The 18241-nt window shown below is 42.4% G+C and overlaps 1 protein-coding gene across 9 annotated transcripts in view, besides 1 other annotated feature; it reads left to right on the top strand.

The window, feature by feature from the left end:
- MREG (melanoregulin) overlaps positions 1 to 18241 on the top strand; it is a 94789-nt gene that overhangs the window by 31927 nt on the left and 44621 nt on the right. For all 9 annotated transcript variants that reach the window (XR_001738843.2, XR_007078319.1, XR_001738842.2 and 6 more), the window contains exon 2: positions 5705 to 5864. Coding sequence is in view for 4 of the 9 variants with exons in the window: in NM_018000.3 (NP_060470.2) it covers positions 5705 to 5864 (160 nt within the window). In the remaining 5 variants the exon portion in view is untranslated. The remainder of the gene's footprint in view (positions 1 to 5704; positions 5865 to 18241) is intronic.
- Positions 280 to 439: an enhancer, noted in NCBI's record as "active region_17077". NCBI's record gives its function as "activates an Ori minimal core promoter by ATAC-STARR-seq in GM12878 lymphoblastoid cells {active_cell/tissue: GM12878}" and the evidence as "EXISTENCE:reporter gene assay evidence [ECO:0000049][PMID:35858748]".

Raw genomic sequence — 18241 nt, 5'->3', positions numbered from 1 at the left:
TTAGTGTGTAATATCAGAGCCACCTCTCAAATGCCTGATGTTAATAAAATATTTATCATCAGCAGGTGGTGGCCAGGGGAAACACAACCACTCTCACTTTCTTTAGAGCCTTTTAGAACTCATGATATGGGGGAGGGAGAGAAAGGGAACCTTCTGACTTATGGTCTGTTTCCCGCCATCTGTCCTCCCAGGGGTTTTCAGGCCCAGACCCCCAGGCCTTTGCACTAAATTCTGTTGACACAGGCCCCAGAGCCCTTCGTGGTCTGGGATACATAGAGGTTCCAAAGGTGCTTCTCTTTAGGCCATTTGCTGTAGGCTTCTCTCTGTTCTAGTTTCTCTGTCCAAAGGGTTAAAAGTTTTAAAACAATGTGGCTTGATACCTTGACCTGGTGGCTGTGCAGGAGTGAAAGGGGCAGGCCCAGAGAACGGGACCCAGGATCTGGTGAGCCAGGCCAACTCTCACAGATGCTTCTGATGCTGCTGAATGAGCTCACAGCCCCTGCGCATTTTCACTAATATTTTGAAAAAAGTTCTTTGTTTATTTATTTAACAGTGGCACCCCACCTTTCCTATGCCCCAAAGAAAGCTTGCAATTACTGAATAAGAACAAAGCAGGAGCCAGGTCTGGGTCTGGAGAGGCAGAGGGGCAGAGTGGAGGAGGCTGCTTCGTAGCCACGAGCAGGTCAGATCCTGCTGGGGAGGGCCCAGGAGCTCGCAGAGAATACCACTGCTGGGAGGCATTGCCGGTCCAGGGGCACAGCGGTTGGTTCTCTTTCCTGATTTACATCATCCCCTGAATATCAGTGGCTAGGCAGAGTTGGAGGCTTGTTAGGGGAATACTGCTTCTAATTAGGGCAGGGCTAGATATGGTGAGAACCCAGGAGGCACTCACCTTCTGGAGACATGGGCACTTCTAAACAGGCTGGGGTTGACCTTCCTATAGAGCTTTACTTGGGCTTGTGGATTAAGGACGAGAGGCTGGTGTTTTATGCTGGCTGAAGTCATGCATGTATGTGTGTGGATGGATGTGATAAGCGAGAAAAAGAGAGGAAAGACAGAGATGCAGAGACAGCTAGAGAGAGGAGAGGAGAAATAAAGAGGAAAAGAAGTGATAGTGAGAGAGAGCAAGAGACAGGAAAGAGAGACAGAGACAGCTAGAGAGAGGAGGGACAGAGAGACAGAGAGAGAGGTTGTGAGAGGGTTGGGAATTGGCCAGGGAGGCAGCTGAGATCGTCATTTTAAAATAGGAAAATAAATTGTGGCTTAGTAAAGTAAAAGGTGGCTAGATTATTCATGGTCTAACGTTATTTTTACTGATTTTTCAGGTACATACTGGCTCCTTTCTAAAGCTCCTGCTTTAGGGAAATTTTTAAAAGGCGGTAACCATGAGTTATGTCTGGGATTTCCTTCAGCAGATTGGGATCACAGCACAGTTTGTTGCGTTCAACAAGTACTTTTAAGGCAACTGCTGTGTCCTAGGACCCTGCTAGGTGATGTGGGGAAGAAATGTAGAAATGTAGAAGAAATACTGGATACAACCCCTGCCCTAGAGGAACTGACCCACCTGTTGAGGAGACAAGACATAGAAATGAAACACATCTGGGGGAAGATGGAAGACCAATGCCAGGAAAAGTACCAGGGTTTCATTGCTCCAGAGGTGCAGTTATTGTGATGTTGGAAGCCATGGTTGCAGCTCTTGGTGGAAGCTCTGTGCCAGGTCTGGGTGACTCAAGGAGAGTGCATCCTGGGGACAAGCCACAGGGGAACCTGCTGGTTTGTACAGGGAGCATCCACACAGGTAGTTATTATCTGAGCTACTTCACTGTGAGTGCATCCCTGTCACAGCATTTGGATGTTGAGTTATATAACAGTGGCTCCTCCGAGATCCCCACCCAGGAACTCATGTTGGGGGGACTGTCAGCTGGCTGTCTGGCCCAGAAGAAGTCAAGCACTGCAGTATTCTTGTCCCTATCTGCAAAGTAGGCCAATGCCACCCATCCTTCTTACCTTAGATGCTTGTGTAACGTGAGGGGTGGAATGCAGGAGCCCTTGGCTCAAGCCCTGAATATATTATGCAGTGGTTGCATATCATTGGCTGCAGAAAGAAATTGGAGTCAGCATCTTTCATGTTATCGACACTTCTCCGGTGTCCACCTGCTGTTTGTCCTGCCTGATCTCTCTTTCTTGACTCACCTATTCTCTTCCTTCTCCAAATCCCGTAAGACCATTCTTCTGATTCTCTGACCTGCTTCTGTGATGCCATGAAATGCTGCGTATTGCTCCCACATCTAGATCTCTACCCTGTCCTTGCTCCTAAACCCAGATCCCTGACATCTCCCTGAACATCCTGCAGGCTCATCATGTCAGCCGTGGCTTCTGCCCCATGTGTTACAGTTGAAGGCGTCACCTTCGCTGGTACCTCTGTGCCTCCCACCATGGGCTGCTGTCACCCGCTCTCTGATGCTGCTGGAATCGGTCCTCATTTCCACTCTCACTGCTATTTCCCTCGCTCTCAACCTCGCTTACTTTTATCTCAATCATAATTTCAGAATGTTCAAAATTATGTATTTGTTTAGCAGTAGAACCCCATTTTTCCTGTACCTCAAACAATCTTCCTTCTAGCTCTAACAAAGACTATTTGAATGGAGAAGCTGCTCTGGTTGTGGTTGGTTCATGGGCTTCTTTCTATCTCTTCCAGAGAAGCCCTGCCCATCTCTTTCTCTACTTCTGCCCCACTGTGGTCCCAAGGCCCCCTGACACCAGGACCTCAAAGAGCATGGCTTGAAAATTACACCTACTCCCGTGTGACAGTTGATTGTGACACCCTCCTAAGCCATCTTCTTGTTCTTCCTTCACCCAGAGTTATTTCTCTAAAATCCAGACCTGACAGGGCTCAAAATCCTGTTGATAATGTTGCAGTTCACAGAATGAAGCTTGGACACCAGCACTACTTTTAGTCTGACCCCACGTTACCTTTTCTTCTTCATGTCTCTCCATTTTCCTTGCTCCGCACACCACGTGCTGCAGTCATGCAGGAATACTTCGATTCCCCAACCCCGTGGGCTCCTGAAGCCTCCATATACTGCTTTGGCTTGAGCTGATCCTTCTACAAGGAATAACTCTGCCCTTGTTTCTCTTCCTGGTGGAAGCCTGTTCAGTCCTCAGGTCTGGTTAGTTCTTGAACTTCCTTCTCATCATACATAACGTATCACTTCTTCCTGTTTGTTCCTACAACAATCTGTGTAGACTTTTTTTAAAAAAATGTACTGATCTCATTGCATTATAGTTATGTTAAGGGCAGAGACAATGTCCTATTTATCTTCATGTCCCCATGGCACCCAGCCCGGTACTCAGTATACAGCAGGCATTTATTCCACATTTGTTGAATAAACAAACAATGGAATGAATGAAATGAATGAATTTGACATGCTCATAAAAGTTCACATGGGCAGGGCCCAAAGGCATCATTTTCCTCCTCTTTCACTGGTTCATCATTCTTAGGAAGAGTCAGGCTGTGGGGCTGCCTGTGTTCTAGCTTTTGTGGTATTAATCAGTAAAAACAGCGTGGTTCTGAGCATAGTGTGCCTGAGCTGTGTCTGATTTCCCATCATCTGCACCTTTCCCCATAGGGCCAGGTACTTTGTTCAGTCCCAGACCCTAAACTTCTGACCTGCAGCCACAAGGATTTCAGGAGCACTGTTCAATATTCAGTCTCTAAACCCCATGCTGATTCAGGTAGCTGGTCTCCTGCTAGCCTTGGTTCCAAGATTCTGTCCCACCTTTTGCCCTAGTTTTTGTAAGTGGGCCCTGGTTGTTGTCCCAATTATTATTATTATTATTATTATTATTTTTTTTTTTTTTTGTGAGATGGAGTTTTGCTCTTGTCGCCCAGACTGGAGTACAATGGCGCGATCTCAGCTCACTGCAACCTCTGCCTCCCCGGTTCAAGCGATTTTCCTGCCTCAGCCTCCCGAGTAGCTGGGATTACAGGCATGTATCACCACACCTGGCTAATTTTTGTATTTTTAGTAGAGATGGGGTTTTGCCATGTTGGCCATGCTGGTCTTGAACTCCTGACTTCAGGTGATCCACCTGCCTCAGCCTCCCAAAGTGTTGGGATCACAGGCGTGAGCCACCGTGCCCGGCCCTGTCTTCCAAAATTTGAGGCGGTGATTGGCAGTCTGACCTGTACCTCATCACTCTAGGGCTGGAGCCCCTCCCTAGCTGGGTGGGTTCCTGCTGCTGAACCCCAATCTGGGGACTGGCACTCTGCTTCCTGTTGCAAAATTTCCTTAGTGCCAACTTCTGAGCATCCCATATTGACATCTTAACATTTCCTGTTTCCTTCCACCCCAGGCCTTTGAAGATGCTGTTTCCTCTGCCTGCAACTCTGTTCTTGTTTTTCCACTTAAAGCTCCAGCACCTCTTCTTCATGACACCTACCTGACGCCTGCCTTCATAAGGATTTTCTCTTAGCAGCTTGCATATGTTCTCATGGCCTCCTGAGCTCCCACTTAATGGCACTTATCACAATTTTTATTTTATAGTCATGTGATCATTCATTAATGTGTTTCCCATGCTAGACTCTAGTGAGGTCCAAGGACAGGGATGATGTCTGTTTTGCTCACAATTTTATTGAGCCCTGTGATTAGCATGTAGTCAGTGCTTTATACATATTACTAGATGAAGTGAATAGCTTCTGTATGACCCTACCAGTCCTTCCCACAGAAGTCAACTGGGGGTTACAGAAGTTAACTGGGGCTGTGTGCAGGCATGCCCCAGATGTGATGCTCTGTCACTAATCTTCTCTGTAAGTCCACACCCAGGTACCACCTTATAAGGCATAAATCATAAAACAAATGTACAGAATGGGACTACTGAAATTCTCACTCAACATTCTGCCTTGTTTATTGAAAGTCTTTGGGTACGCATGTTTATTACTTAATTTTCCTGGCATAAGGAATTTGATAGCTATTATATATCATTGTACTCCAAGTTTACTATGCTTCCTTGAACTCAGAGCCAGTCAAACATTCATCCCTTCATGTTAATTGTTTTCTTCTTTTAATCACACAAGAATTCTATTCCTGGCTGGGCGCGGTGGCTCACACCTATAATCCCAGCACTTCGGGAGGCCAAGGTGGACAGATCACTTGAGGCCAAGAGTTCAAGACCAGCCTGACCAACATGGCAAAACCCTGTCTTTATGAAAAATAAAAGAATTATCCGGGCGTGGTGGCAGGCGCCTGTAATCCCAGGTACTCGGTAGGCTGAGGCAGGAGAATCACTTGAACCTGAGAGGTGGAGGCTGTAGTGAGCTGAGGTCGTGCCACTGCACTCCAGCCTGGGTGATGCTGGGTGATGAAGCGAGACTCTGTCTCAAAAAAAAAAAGAATTGAATTTCCTTTGTTGTCTTAGCTTCTGGGGTACTCAGTGCTGAATTTCATATTTAACTGTAGTAATTACCTCTGCTCAGGTACGTCTGTTCTCTGTTCTTTTTAAAGTGATTTATTTATATTTTTGGTTTGTTTTTACTGCTCTGTTGTGTTATGCTTAATTATTAAAGACAATTCAGACCTTTTTGACAATATATTTATATATTACATAGTATAAGTTTTAATTGATATTGTATGTTGCATGCATATGACATATAACATTTTATGTATATTATAAAACCCCAATCTTTCCTTTTTTTATACAACAGTGATAACAATCCATATTCCTCATTTGGAGCAACTCTGGTGAGGGATGATGAGAAGAATTTATGGAGTATGCCCCATGATGTGTCCCACACAGAGGCAGACGACGACAGAACCCTGTACAATTTGATAGTCATTCGTAATCAGCAGGCCAAAGACTCAGAGGTGAGCACCTTTTGATGTCTTGCTGTGCGCGGATGATGCTATATAGTAAAAAATAGTAATTCCTGAGAAGATCCCCTTGAAATAACAAAAAGAATGAAGGATGAAATGTTTGAAATGAAGGGCAGGTATTTTAGCAGCATATATTATCACTGGTTGCTAATTATAGCTAGTCTTGATTGACCTGCTTGATATAGAGATAAGGCTCATTTCTAATTCCTACCTTAATGGCACAAATTACACGCAAGGCAATGCTGTTGAAGAGTGTGAAGATAGTTTGTCATCTTAAATGGCTTAAACCGTCCATCTCTAATCTTTCCAGTTGTTTAGTAAGCCACACTTACTTGATTCAGACTGAAGTTTGAAGGGTACTTTGCATTATCACTAATTTTGAATTAGTGAAGCCTGAATTAGTTTTTTTTTTTCCTGTTTAAAGGTCCTTAAATTATGCATACTGATCAGACAGCAGTGGATCCACTATTTATTTGAGATACTTCTTGTGATAAGCCTTGAACCCTCACAATAACTCTAAATCCAAAGTGATTGATTTAAGAACACTAGAATATTAAAAAGGAGAGAACTCTGTAAGTTAAGAAAACAACAGCAAAGACAATCATACTTTTTTTCTCCTTTCTTTGGAAAGTCATGTTTGAGTTAGGTTTTCTGACTTCTGTGTTCATCAGCTACCTCTGAGGAGAAACCTGTATTAAATATACACTGCATGCTTCTTTGTGTAGAGGAATTGAGCAGGGTAGGGAAACTTATAGTTGGGTTTAGTGTGTATATTGGTGGCGGGGGGTGGGGTGGGTGGAGGTGCTGTGGAGCTTGTCTTTTCCTTAACGAGGTTTCTTTATTTTTGGTAATTGGTAACTTTTCTTTTCCCAAAAAAACATATTTTAGCAGGAGGTGATAACTTTTAGAAGTGTCATGTGTCCCGGTCCTTTTATTCTGATGTGAGTTGGATGCTTTGGAGGGGTTAGAGATGTGGATCACAGGATGGGGGAAGGGCCGGCAGTTGCCTCTGCTCTTGAGGCCTGGGGAAGGGTGGACTGGGACTCCTTCAGTGGCTGCTGTGTAGCATCCCACTAGTGACCGAGCACCCACTACCTCTGGCTGCCCATGTCCCCAGCAAAATCCCCTCTGTGATGGGCAATGCTGAAGGCAAGTCATAAATCCTGCTGCTGCCAAGAACTGCACTCCCTGGCTGCCCTTTGTGAGCATATAATTGGGAATGCGTGGCCTTGTTTTCTCTTTAGTGGAAAGAACAAATTCTTACACTCCTGTATTACATTAACCAGTTAAGGTTTCTGCTGGTGAGAACAGAGTCATTTCTTCTCTTTTCTTCCTCTTCTCCCCTGACTCTGCCCAAAACAGTAACAGCAATACGGAAATAATGTATAGTGTCTCTCTCTCTCTCTTTCTCTCTCTCTCACCAGGGCCCCATGCAAATGTGAAAGGGGCTGGAAAAGTATCTGGAGCTGAATTTGGCAGCTCTCCCTGGAGGAGCTCCCACCTTTCTTCCCACTTATCTTTACTTTTCAGAAGACAGCAGAGGAACATGGACGACAAAGCCCTCTTGGAAAGCACAGCTTCTAAAGTGGCCCATTGTGTCTTTTTTGTGCTGGTCCTTGGGCTTGGTGTGATGGGTCCTCCAGAAGCTTCCTCCTCCTCCTCCCCCTCCTTCTTCTCTTCTTCTTCCTCTTCTTCTCCTTCTTCTTCCCCTTCTCCCTCTTCTCCCTCTTTTTTTTTAAAATTATACTTTAAGTTCTGGGATACATCTGCAGAATGTGCAGGTTACATAGGTATACACGTGCCATGGTGGTTTGCTCACCCATCAACCTGTCATCTACAATAGGTATTTCTCCGAATGCCATCCCTCCCCTAGGCCCCCACCCCCTGACAGGCCCAAGTGTGTGACGTTCCCCTCCCCGTGTCCCTGTGTTCTCATTTTTCAGCTCCCACTTATGAGTGAGAACATGTGGTGTTTGGTTTTCTGTTCCTGTGTTAGTTTGCTGAGAATGATGGTTTTCAGCTTCATCCATGTCCCTGCAAAGGACATGAACTCATCCATTTTTATGGCTGCATAGTATTCCATGGAGTATATGTGCCACATTTTCTTTATGCAGTCTATCATTGATGGGCATTTGGGTTGGTTCCAAATCTTTGCTTTTGTGAACAGTGTTGCGATAAACATACATGTGCATGTGCCTTTATAGTAGAATGATTTATAATCCTTTGGGTATATACCCAGTAATGGGATTGCTGGGTCAAATGGTATTTCTGGTTCTAGATCCTTGAGGAATCGCCACACTGTCTTCCACAATGGTTGAACTAATTTACACTCCCACCAACAGTGTAAAAGTGTTCCTATTTCTCCACATCTCTCCAGCATCTGTTGTTTCCTGACTTTTTAGTGATCGCCATTCTAACTGGCATGAGATGGTATCTCATTGTAGTTTTGATTTGCATTTCTCTAATGACCAGTGATGATGAGCTTTTTTCATATGTTTGTTGGCCGCACAAATGTCTTCTTTTGAGAAGTGTCTGTTCATATCCTTTGCTCACTTTTTGATGGAGTTGTTTTCTTTCTCATAAATTTATTTAAGTTCCTTGTAGATTCTGGATATTAGCCCTTTGTCAGATAGATAGATTGCAAAAATTTTCTCTCATTCTGTAGGTTGCCTGTTCACTCTGGTGATAGTTTCTTTTGCTGTGCAGAAGCTCTTTAGTTTAATCCCATTTGTCAATTTTGGCTTTTGTTGCCATTGTTTTTGGTGTTTTATTCATGAAGTCTTTGCCCATGCCTATGTCCTGAATGGTATTGCCTAAGTTTTCTCCTAGGGTTTTTATGGTTTTAGGTCTTATGTTTAAGTCTTTAATCCATCTTGAGTTAATTTTTGTGTAAGGTATAAGGAAGGGGTCCAGTTTCAGTTTTCTGCATATGGCTAGCCAGTTTTCCCAACACCATTTATTAAATAGCAGATCCTTTCCCCATTGCTTGTTTTTGTCAAGTTTGTCAAAGATCAGATGGTTTTAGATGTGTGGCGTTACTTCTGAGGCCTCTGTTCTGTTCTATTGGTCTGCATTATCTGCTTTGGTACTAGTACTGTGTTGTTTTGGTTACTGTAGCCTTGTAATATAGTTTGAAGTCAGGTAGCATAGCATGATGTCTCCAGCTTTGTTCTTTTTGCCTAGGATTGTCTTGGCTATACGGGCTCTTATTTGGTTCCATATGAAATTTAAAGTAGTTTTTTCTAATTCTGTGAAGAAAGTCAGTGGTAGCTTGATGGGGATAGCATTGAATCTATAAATTACTTTGGGCAGTATGGCCATTTTCATGATATTGATTTTTCCTATCCATGAGCATGGAATGTTTTTCTGTTTGTTTGTGTCCTCTCTTATTTCCTTGAGCAGTGGTTTGTAGTTCTCCCTGAAGAGGTCTTTCACATCCCTTGTAAGTTGTATTCCTAGGTATTTAATTCTCTTTGTGGCAATTGTGAATGGGAGTTCATTTATGATTTGGCTCTCTGTTTACCTATTATTGGTGTACAGGAATGCTTGTGATTTTTGCACATTGATTTTGTATCCTGAGACTTTGCTGAAGTTGCTTATCAGCTTAAGGAGATTTTGGGCTGAGACAATGGGGTTTTCTAAATATACCATTATGTCATCTGCAAACAGAGACAATTTGACTTCCTCTCTTCCTATTTGAATACCTTTATTCCTTTCTCTTGCCTGATTGCCCTGGCCAGAACTTCCAATACTATGTTGAATAGGAGTCGTGAGAGAGGGCATCCTTGTCTTGTGCCGGTTTTCAAAGGGAATGCTTCCAGCTTTTGCCCATTCAGTGTGATACTGGCCGTGGGTTTGTCATAAACAGCTCTTTTGAGATACGTTCCATCAATTATTTTGAGATACATTCCATCAATACCTAGTTTATTGAGAGTTTTTAGCATGAAGGGCTGTTGAATTTTATTGAAGACCTTTTCTGCTTCTATTAAGATAATCATGTGGTTTTTGTTATTGGTTCTGTTTATGTGAGGGATTACGTTTATTGATTTGCATATGTTGAACCAGCCTTGCATCCCAGGGATGAAGCTGACTTGATTGTGGTGGATAAGCTTTTTGATGTGCTGCTGGATTCAGTTTGCCAGTATTTTATTGAGGATTTTCACATTGATGTTCATCAGGGAGATTGGCCTGAAATTTTCTTTTTTTGTTGTGTCTCTGCCAGGTTTTGGTATCAGGATGAGGCTGGCCTCATAAAATGAGTTAGGGCAGAGTCCCTCTTTTTCTGTGGTTTCTAATAGTTTCAGAAGGAATGGTACCAGCTCCTCTTTGTACCTCTGGTAGAATTTGGCTGTGAATCCGTCTGGTCCTGGGCTTTTTTTGGTTGGTAGGCTATTAATTACTGCCTCAATTTCAGAACTTGTTATTGGTCTATTCAGGGATTCAAATTCCTCCTGGTTTAGTCTTAGGAGTGTGTATGTGTCCGGGAATTTATCCATTTCTTCCAGATTTTCTAGTTTATTTGCATAGAGGTGTTTATAGTATTTTCTGACGGGTAGTTTGTATTTCTGTGGGATCGGTGGTGATCTCACCTTTATCATTTTTCATTGCATCTGTTTGGTTATTCTCTCTTTTCTTCATTAGTCTTGCTAGTTGTCTATCTGTTTTGTTAATCTTTTCAAAAAGCCAGCTCCTGGATTCATTGATTTTTTTTTTTTGAACGGTTTTTCGTGTCTCTACCTCCTTCAATTCTGCTCTGATCTTAGTTATTTCTTGTCCTCTGCTAGCTTTTGAATTTGTTTGCTCTTGCTTCTCTAGTTCTTTTAATTGTGATGTTAGGGTGTCAATTTTAGGTCTTTCCTGCTTTCTCCTATGCACATTTAGTGCTATAAATTTCCCTCTAAACACTGCTTTAGCTGAGTGCCAGAGATTCTGGTACATTGTGTCTTTGTTTTCATTGGTTTCAGAGAACTTATTTATCTCTGCCTTAATTTTGTTATTTACCCAGTAGTCATTAAACAACAGGTTGTTCAGTTTCCATGTAGTTTTGTGGTTTTCAGTGAGTTTCTTAATCCTGAGTTCTAATTTGATTGCACTGTGGTCTGAGAGACCGTTACGATTTCTGTTCTTTTGCATTTGCTGAGGAGTGTTTTACTTCCAATTATGTGGTCAATTTTAGAATAAGTGTGATGTGGTGCTGAGAAGAATGTATATTCTGTTGATTTGGGTTGGAGAGTTCTGTACATGTCTATTAGGTCTGCTTGTTCCAGAGCTGAGTTTAACTCCTGTATATCCTTGTTAATTTTCTGTCTCGTTGATCTATCTAATATTGACAGTGGGGTGTTAAAGTCTCCCGCTATTATTGTGTGGGAATCTAAGTCTCTTTGTATGTTTCTAGGAATTTGCTTTATGAATCTGGGTGCTCCTGTATTGGGTACATACATATTTAGGATAGTTAGCTCTTTTTGTTGCGTTGATCCCTTTACCATTATGTAATGCCCTTCTTCGTCTTTTTTGATCTTTTTTGGCTTAAAGTCCATTTTATCAGAGACAAGGATCACAATCCCTGCTTTTTTTGCTTTCCATTTGCTTGGTAAATATTCCTCCAACCCTTTGTTTTGAGCCTATATGTGTCTTTGCATGTAAGATGGGTCTCTTGAATATAGCACACTGATGGGTCTTGACTCTTTATCCAATTTGCCAGTCTGTGTCTTTTAATTGGGGCATTTAGCCTATTTACGTTTAAGGTTAATATTGCTTTGTGTGAATTTGATCCCATCATTATGATGCTAGCTGGTTATTTTTCCCGTTAGTTGAGGCAGTTTCTTCATAGTGTCGATGGTCTTTACAATTTGGTATGTTTTTGCAGTGGCTGGTACCGGTTTTTCCTTTCATATTTAGTGCTTCCTTCAGGAGCTCTTGTAAGGCAGGCCTGGTGATGACAAAATCTCTCAGTATTTGCTTGTCTGTACAGGGTTGTATTTCTCTTTCACTTATGAAGCTTATTTTGGCTGGATATGAAATTCTGGGTTGAAAATTCTTTTCTTCAAGAATGTTGAATATTGGCCCCCACTCTCTTCTGGCTTGTGGGGTTTCTGCAGAGAGATCCGCTGTTAGTCTGATGGTCTTCCCTTTGTGGGTAACCCGACCTTTCTCTCTGGCTGCCCTTAACATCTTTTCCTTCATTTCAACCTTGGTGAATCTTATAATTATGTGTCTTGGAGTTGCTCTTCTCGAGGAGTAGCTTTGTGGTGTTCTCTGTATTTCCTGAATTTGAATGTTGGCCTGTCTTGCTAAGTTGGAGAAGTTCTTGTGGATAATATCCTGAAGAGTGTTTTCCAACTTGGTTCCACTCTCCCCATCACTTTCAGGTATACCAATCAAACATAGATTTGGTATTTTCACATAGTCCCATATTTCTTGGAGGTTTTCTTTACTCCTTTTCATTCTTTTTTCTCTAATCTTGTCTTCATGCTTTATTTCATTAAGTTGATCTTCAATCTCTGATATCCTTTCTTCTGCTTGATCGATTTGGCTATTGATACTTGCGAATGCTTCATGAAGTTCTCCTGCTGTATTTTTCACCTCCATTAGGTCATTTACGTTCTTCTCTAAACTGGTTACTGTAGTTAGCAATTCCTCTAACCTTTTTTCAAGGTTCTTAGCTTCCTTGCATTGGGTTAGAACATGCTCCTTTAGGTCGGAGCAGTTTGTTATTACCCACTTTCTGAGGTCTACGTCTGTCAATTTGTCAAACTCATTCTCTGTCCAGTTTCGTTCCCTGCTGGTAAAGAGTTGTGATCCTTTGGAGGAGAAGAGGCATTCTGGTTTTTGGACTTTCCAGCCTTTTTGCACTGGTCTTCCTCATCTTCGGGGATTTATCTACCTTCGGTCTTTGATATTGGTGACCTGTGGATGGGGTTTCTGTGTGGATGCTCTTTTTGTTCATGTTGATGCTATTCCTTTCTGTTTGTTAGTTTTCCTTCTAACAGTCAGGCCTCTCTGCTGCAGGTCTGCTGGATTTTGCTGGAGGTACACTCCAGACCCTGTTTGCCTGGGTATCACCAGCGGAGGCTGTAGAACAGCAAGGATTGCTGCCTGTTCCTTCCTCTGGAAGTTTTGTCCCAGAGGGGCACCCACCAGATACCAGCAGGAGCTCTCCTGTATGAGGTATCTGTTGACCCCTGCTGGGAGGTGTCTCCTGGTCAGGAGGCATAGGGGTCAGGGACCCACTTGAGGAGGCAGTCTGTCCCTTAGCAGAGCTTGAGGGCCATCCTGGGAGATCCACTGCTCTCTTCAGAGCCGGCAGGCAGGAACATTTAAGTCTGCTGAAGCTGTGCCCACAGCCACCCCTTCCCCCAGGTGCTCTGTCCCAGGGAGATGGGAGTTTTATCTATAAGCCCCTGACTGGGGCTGCTGCCTTTCTTTCTGATATGCCCTGCCCAGAGAGGAGGAATCTAGAGAGGCAGTCTTGCCATAGTGGCTTTGCTGAACTGCAGTGGCTCCACCCAGTTCAAACTTCCCAGCGGCTTTGTGTACACTGTGAGGGGAAAAACTGCCTGCCCAAGCCTCAGGAATGGCGGATGCCCCTCCCCCAACCAAGCTCGAGCATCCCAGGTCAACTTCAGACTGCTGTGCTGGCAGCGAGAATTTCAAGCCAGTGGATCTTAGCTTGCTGGGCTCCATGGGAGTGGGATCTGCTGAGCCAGCCCCTTTGGTTTCTTGGCTTCAGCCCCTTTCCAGGGGAGTAAATGATTCTGTGTCGCTGGTGTTCCACTGCCACTGGGGTATGAAAAAAAACTCTTGTAGCTAGCTCGGTGTCTGGTGAACCGGCCACTTCGTTTTATGCTTGAAACCCAGGGCCCTGGTGGCATAGGCACCCAAGAGAATCTCCTGGTCTGCAGCTTGCATAGTCCATGTTAAAAGCATAGTATCTAGGCTGGAGTGCACCATTACTCACAGCACGATCCCTCACAGCTTCCCTTGGCTAAGAGAGGGAATTCTCTGACCCCTTGCTTTTCTCTGTGAGGCAACGCCCCACCCTGCTTCAGCTTGCCCTCTGTGGGCTGCACCAACTGTCTAACCAGTCCCAATGAGATAAGCCAGGTACCTCAGGTGGAAATGCAGAAATCACCCGTCTTCTGCGTTGATCTCACCGTGAGCTGCAGACTGGAGCTGTTCCTATTCAGCCATCTTGGAATAACCTCTTCCTCTTGCCTAAGAAATAAAATCAGGCTCGACTGTAGAGGAACAGGAACTCTGTTACCAAGACAGGCAGTCAAATAAATAACATGAAGACGTGATGATAATTATGCATGAAATGATTTGAAATAAACCTTTTCATAGTGCTTCCTTCTTCTTTTTTATTTTTTAAATTTTTTTATTTTTTTTATTTTGAGACGGAGTTTCACTCTTGTTGCCCAGGCTGGAGTGCAATGGTGTGATCTCAGCTCACTGCAACCTCCGTCTCCTGGTTTCAAGTGATTCTCCTGCCTCAGCCTCCAGAGTAACTAGGATTACAGGCATGCGCCACCACACCCGGCTAATTTTTAATTAACTACCTGGTAAATTTTGTATTTTTAGTGGAGACGGGGTTTCACCATGTTGGTCTGTCTGGTCTCGAGCTCCTGACCTCAGGTGATCCACCTGCCTAGGCCTCCTAAAGTGCTGGAATTACAGATGTGAGCCACTGCGCCCTTCCACTTTCTTCTTTTAAAAGTATAAAAGTAATGTAGTTTTTAAAAGTTGCTTATGTTGCCGGGTATGGTGGCTAACGCCTGTAATCCCAGCACTTTGGGAGGCTGAGGTGGGTGGCTCACGAGATCCAGAGTTTGAGACTAGCCTGACCAACATGGTGAAACCCGGTCTTTACTAAAAATGCAAAAATTAGCCGGGCGTGATGGCACTTACCTGTAATTCCAGCTACTCAGGAGGCTGAGGCAGGAGAATCGCTTTGAACCTGGGAGGCAGAGTTTGCAGTGAGCCAAGATCACGCCACTGCACTCTGGCCTGGGTGACAGAGCAAGACTTCATCTAAAAAAAAAAAAAGTTGCTTATGTTTTCTTCTAAAATGTTGAAATTCATTTTCCCTACAGATTGGATCGCATATTATGTACTGTTCTGTACTTTGCTTTTTTCCCACTTAATATATTTTGGACATATTTCCATTTTAATATGCTTAGATTTACTTTTTTGCTTCAGGGAACTCTCTAGTATTCTCTTGCACGGATTCACCATCACTTATTCAACCAGTTCCTATTGATATTTACGTTGATTTATTTTTTTTCCTGTTGGAAGCAATATTGTAGTGGACATCCATATATATTTGTATGACCTTTCGTAGTTTTTTCAGTAGAATTGTTGGATCAAAGTATGTGCATTTGAAATGTTGGAATTGTGACAGTGCTTCATGTATTAGTCTGTTCTCATGCTGCTAATAAAGACATACCCAAGACTGGGTAATTTATAAAGCAAAGAGGTTTAATTGATTCACAGTTCCTCATGGCTGGGGAGGCCTCACAATCATGGCAGAAGGCAAAGGAGGAGCAAAGTCATGTCTTACATGGTGGCAGGCAAGAGAACTTGTGCAGGGGAACTCGTATGTATGAAACCATCAGATCTTGTGAGACTTCGAGAACAGAATGGGGGAAACTGCTCCCATGATTCAGTTATCTCCACCTGACCCTGCCCTTAACATGTAGGGATAATTAAAATTCAAAGTGAGATTTGTGGGGACACAGCCAAACTATATCACTTCATTCTTGGGAAACTAGGAAAAACACTTCAAGGTGGAGAACAGAGGTTGCAATCTCAGATCTCTCCAGGAACTAGGCAATAACATCAGTGAGGGAAGTGGGTACCCCCTGCCCTTCACCCCACATATTGAATGGCATTGGAAACTCATACTGCTTTTAATGGGAGCAGCTGTTAAGCTCTAGATAGCTGCTTGCCATGTTGAGAATGTGAACCCACTCGCCATGTTGAGAATGTGGACCCACAAATACTGGAATTTTTAATTTTTCAAAAGAAGCTGAAAATCCAGATTTTCATATAAAATGTCCAGATTTTCAAATAACTCAATTAAAAAATATGCCAGCTAAATAAATATGTTTTCTTTCCAGTAGGAGATAGCTTAAAATAAAATAAAATATGCCTATGAGCTATTGATATGTAAAGACGTTTATAGCAAGGACTACTACTAGTTATGATTATTGTTGTTTTGTCCAAGATAATTGAAAAATGAACTCACCATTGATTTAGAAGGTGAAAGAGGGAAGCTAGACGGGGATTGTTTTAACTTTGAATGAGTTCCATATTTACTACTATTGCTTATTTTCTTTTCCACACAGGATAAAATTGGTACAGATTTTAATTAAAAAAAAAGTATTCTGGTTTTGGAAGAAAACCAAATTTCACTTACTAAGGAACAAGGAACCCTAGATATTTTTTGTATGATACAATTTAGAAGCTCAAGAAAGGTATTAAGAAAAATGGAACATAATGTTTTTCCTTGAGTAGAAATAGCACAAAAGACCTAGGAATGTCCATATTTGGAATTCTCTGAATGATAACAAATAAATTCAAGACAGTGTATGTACAATCTGCATTCTCCTTGGAATCTGAAGCTGGTAGAGGAAGGACCACAAATAATTAAGGCTAAATTTACAGTGTTCCAAACTGAAAAAAAGTCAGGAAAAAAATATATATAGAAGAGCAAATAATGAAACAAAGGCATTAGCTTAAAGTCATTTGGTGTCAAAAAAATACAAAACAACATTATTTAAATCTCATAGACAGAATCCACCTTCATTTACATAAGGCTTCTGGAGCTGATGGAAAACAGACCTTCAGCAGAAGAAATGATGCATTTGCAAACCTCTAAGTAGTGGAAAAATTATTGCTCTTGTCTTTGAATGATGCCATAAAGTACATTATGTTTGCCTAAGAAGTAGTAAACAGCCTCAATGTTCCTAAATCATTATCCTTATGTTCATTTTCATTAAAGTAGTTGTGCTTTACATAACGTGCTCTGCTCTAGGGAGCTTAATAATTGTTAATGAAATATGGATACAACTTATTATTTAATAATTGTAATACTGAGTGAACTTATTCTCTAAGATATTAATAATAATGAAAATAGTGCCAGGCACTGTTCTAACCACTTTGCATATGTTAACTGTGTCCTCTTTAACAACAACTCACTGAAGCAGGCACCATTATTATTTCCATTTTAAGCAACTTATCCAAGGGCACACAGCTGTTGAGTTTGGATGCAGGATTTGAATCTGGCTTTATGGCTCCAGAGATATATAATGAGTATCAGGATTGAAATGGAGAGAAAGGAACAGATATTGTTTGTGATTCAATATAGATTTCAAAATGTATAAGCAAAGTCTGCTCATAAGCCTGTCTCTGTGTCTTGTTGGTGCCAATGAGTACGAAAGGGATTTTCATATCAGTGGGATGACAGCTACATTTGGTCTGAGGATGGTGACCACGTTTCAGAAAGTGTTTCCAGGCACAACACACATTTTTCCCAAGTTATGCTTTTCCATGGTGATTGCAGCTTGTTAAGACTTATTTCCTGGGCTTCTGTTTTATTACCTCCAAAATATTTCATTCTACTCTGTTCCATCCCTTCTTCACTTTGTTTAGTGTTCTCTGACCTGTTTTAGTGCCTCTTTCTATGGTTTGGCAGTTCCTTTAGGAGTTTGTACATAGCTTTCACATTTTGACTCTCCTAAAAAAGCCTTAATTTTTTTTTTTTTTTTTTTTTTTTTTGGTGACAAGGTCTTATTCTGTTGCCCAGGCTTCAGTACAGAGGTGCAATCATAGCTCATGATAGCCTCGACCTCCTGGGCTCCAGCAATTCTTCTGCCTTGGCCTCCCAAAGCATTGGATTGCAGGCATGAGCCATTGTGACTGGCTGCTCTTACATTTTTGGTTAAGGAGATGTATGCTAACTGATATGGTTTGGCTGTGTCCCCACTCAAATCTCACCTTGAATTCCCACATGTTGTGGGATGGACATGGGGGGAGGTAATTCAATCATGGGGGCAAGTCTTTCCCATGCTGTTCTCTTGATAGTGAATAAGTGTCATGAGATCTGATGGTTTTTAAAAAGAGGAGTTTTCCTGCACAAGTTCTCTCTCTTTGCCTGCTGCCATCCATGTAAGATGTGACTTGCTCCTCCTTGCCTTCTGCCATGATTGTGAGGCTTCCCCAGCCACGTGGAACTGTAAGTCCAATTAAACCTCTTTCTTTTGTAAATTTCTCAGTCTGGGGTATGTCTTTATCAGCAGCATGAAAATAGACTAATACACTAACTATCAGATCATTCTCATAAACTCTTTCAAGTACTGTTTTGGTTC

Source organism: Homo sapiens, chromosome 2 (genome assembly GCF_000001405.40).
Source record: "Homo sapiens chromosome 2, GRCh38.p14 Primary Assembly".
NCBI classification, from domain to species: domain Eukaryota; kingdom Metazoa; phylum Chordata; class Mammalia; order Primates; family Hominidae; genus Homo; species Homo sapiens.
This window is presented reverse-complemented; position numbering and strand designations above follow the sequence as displayed.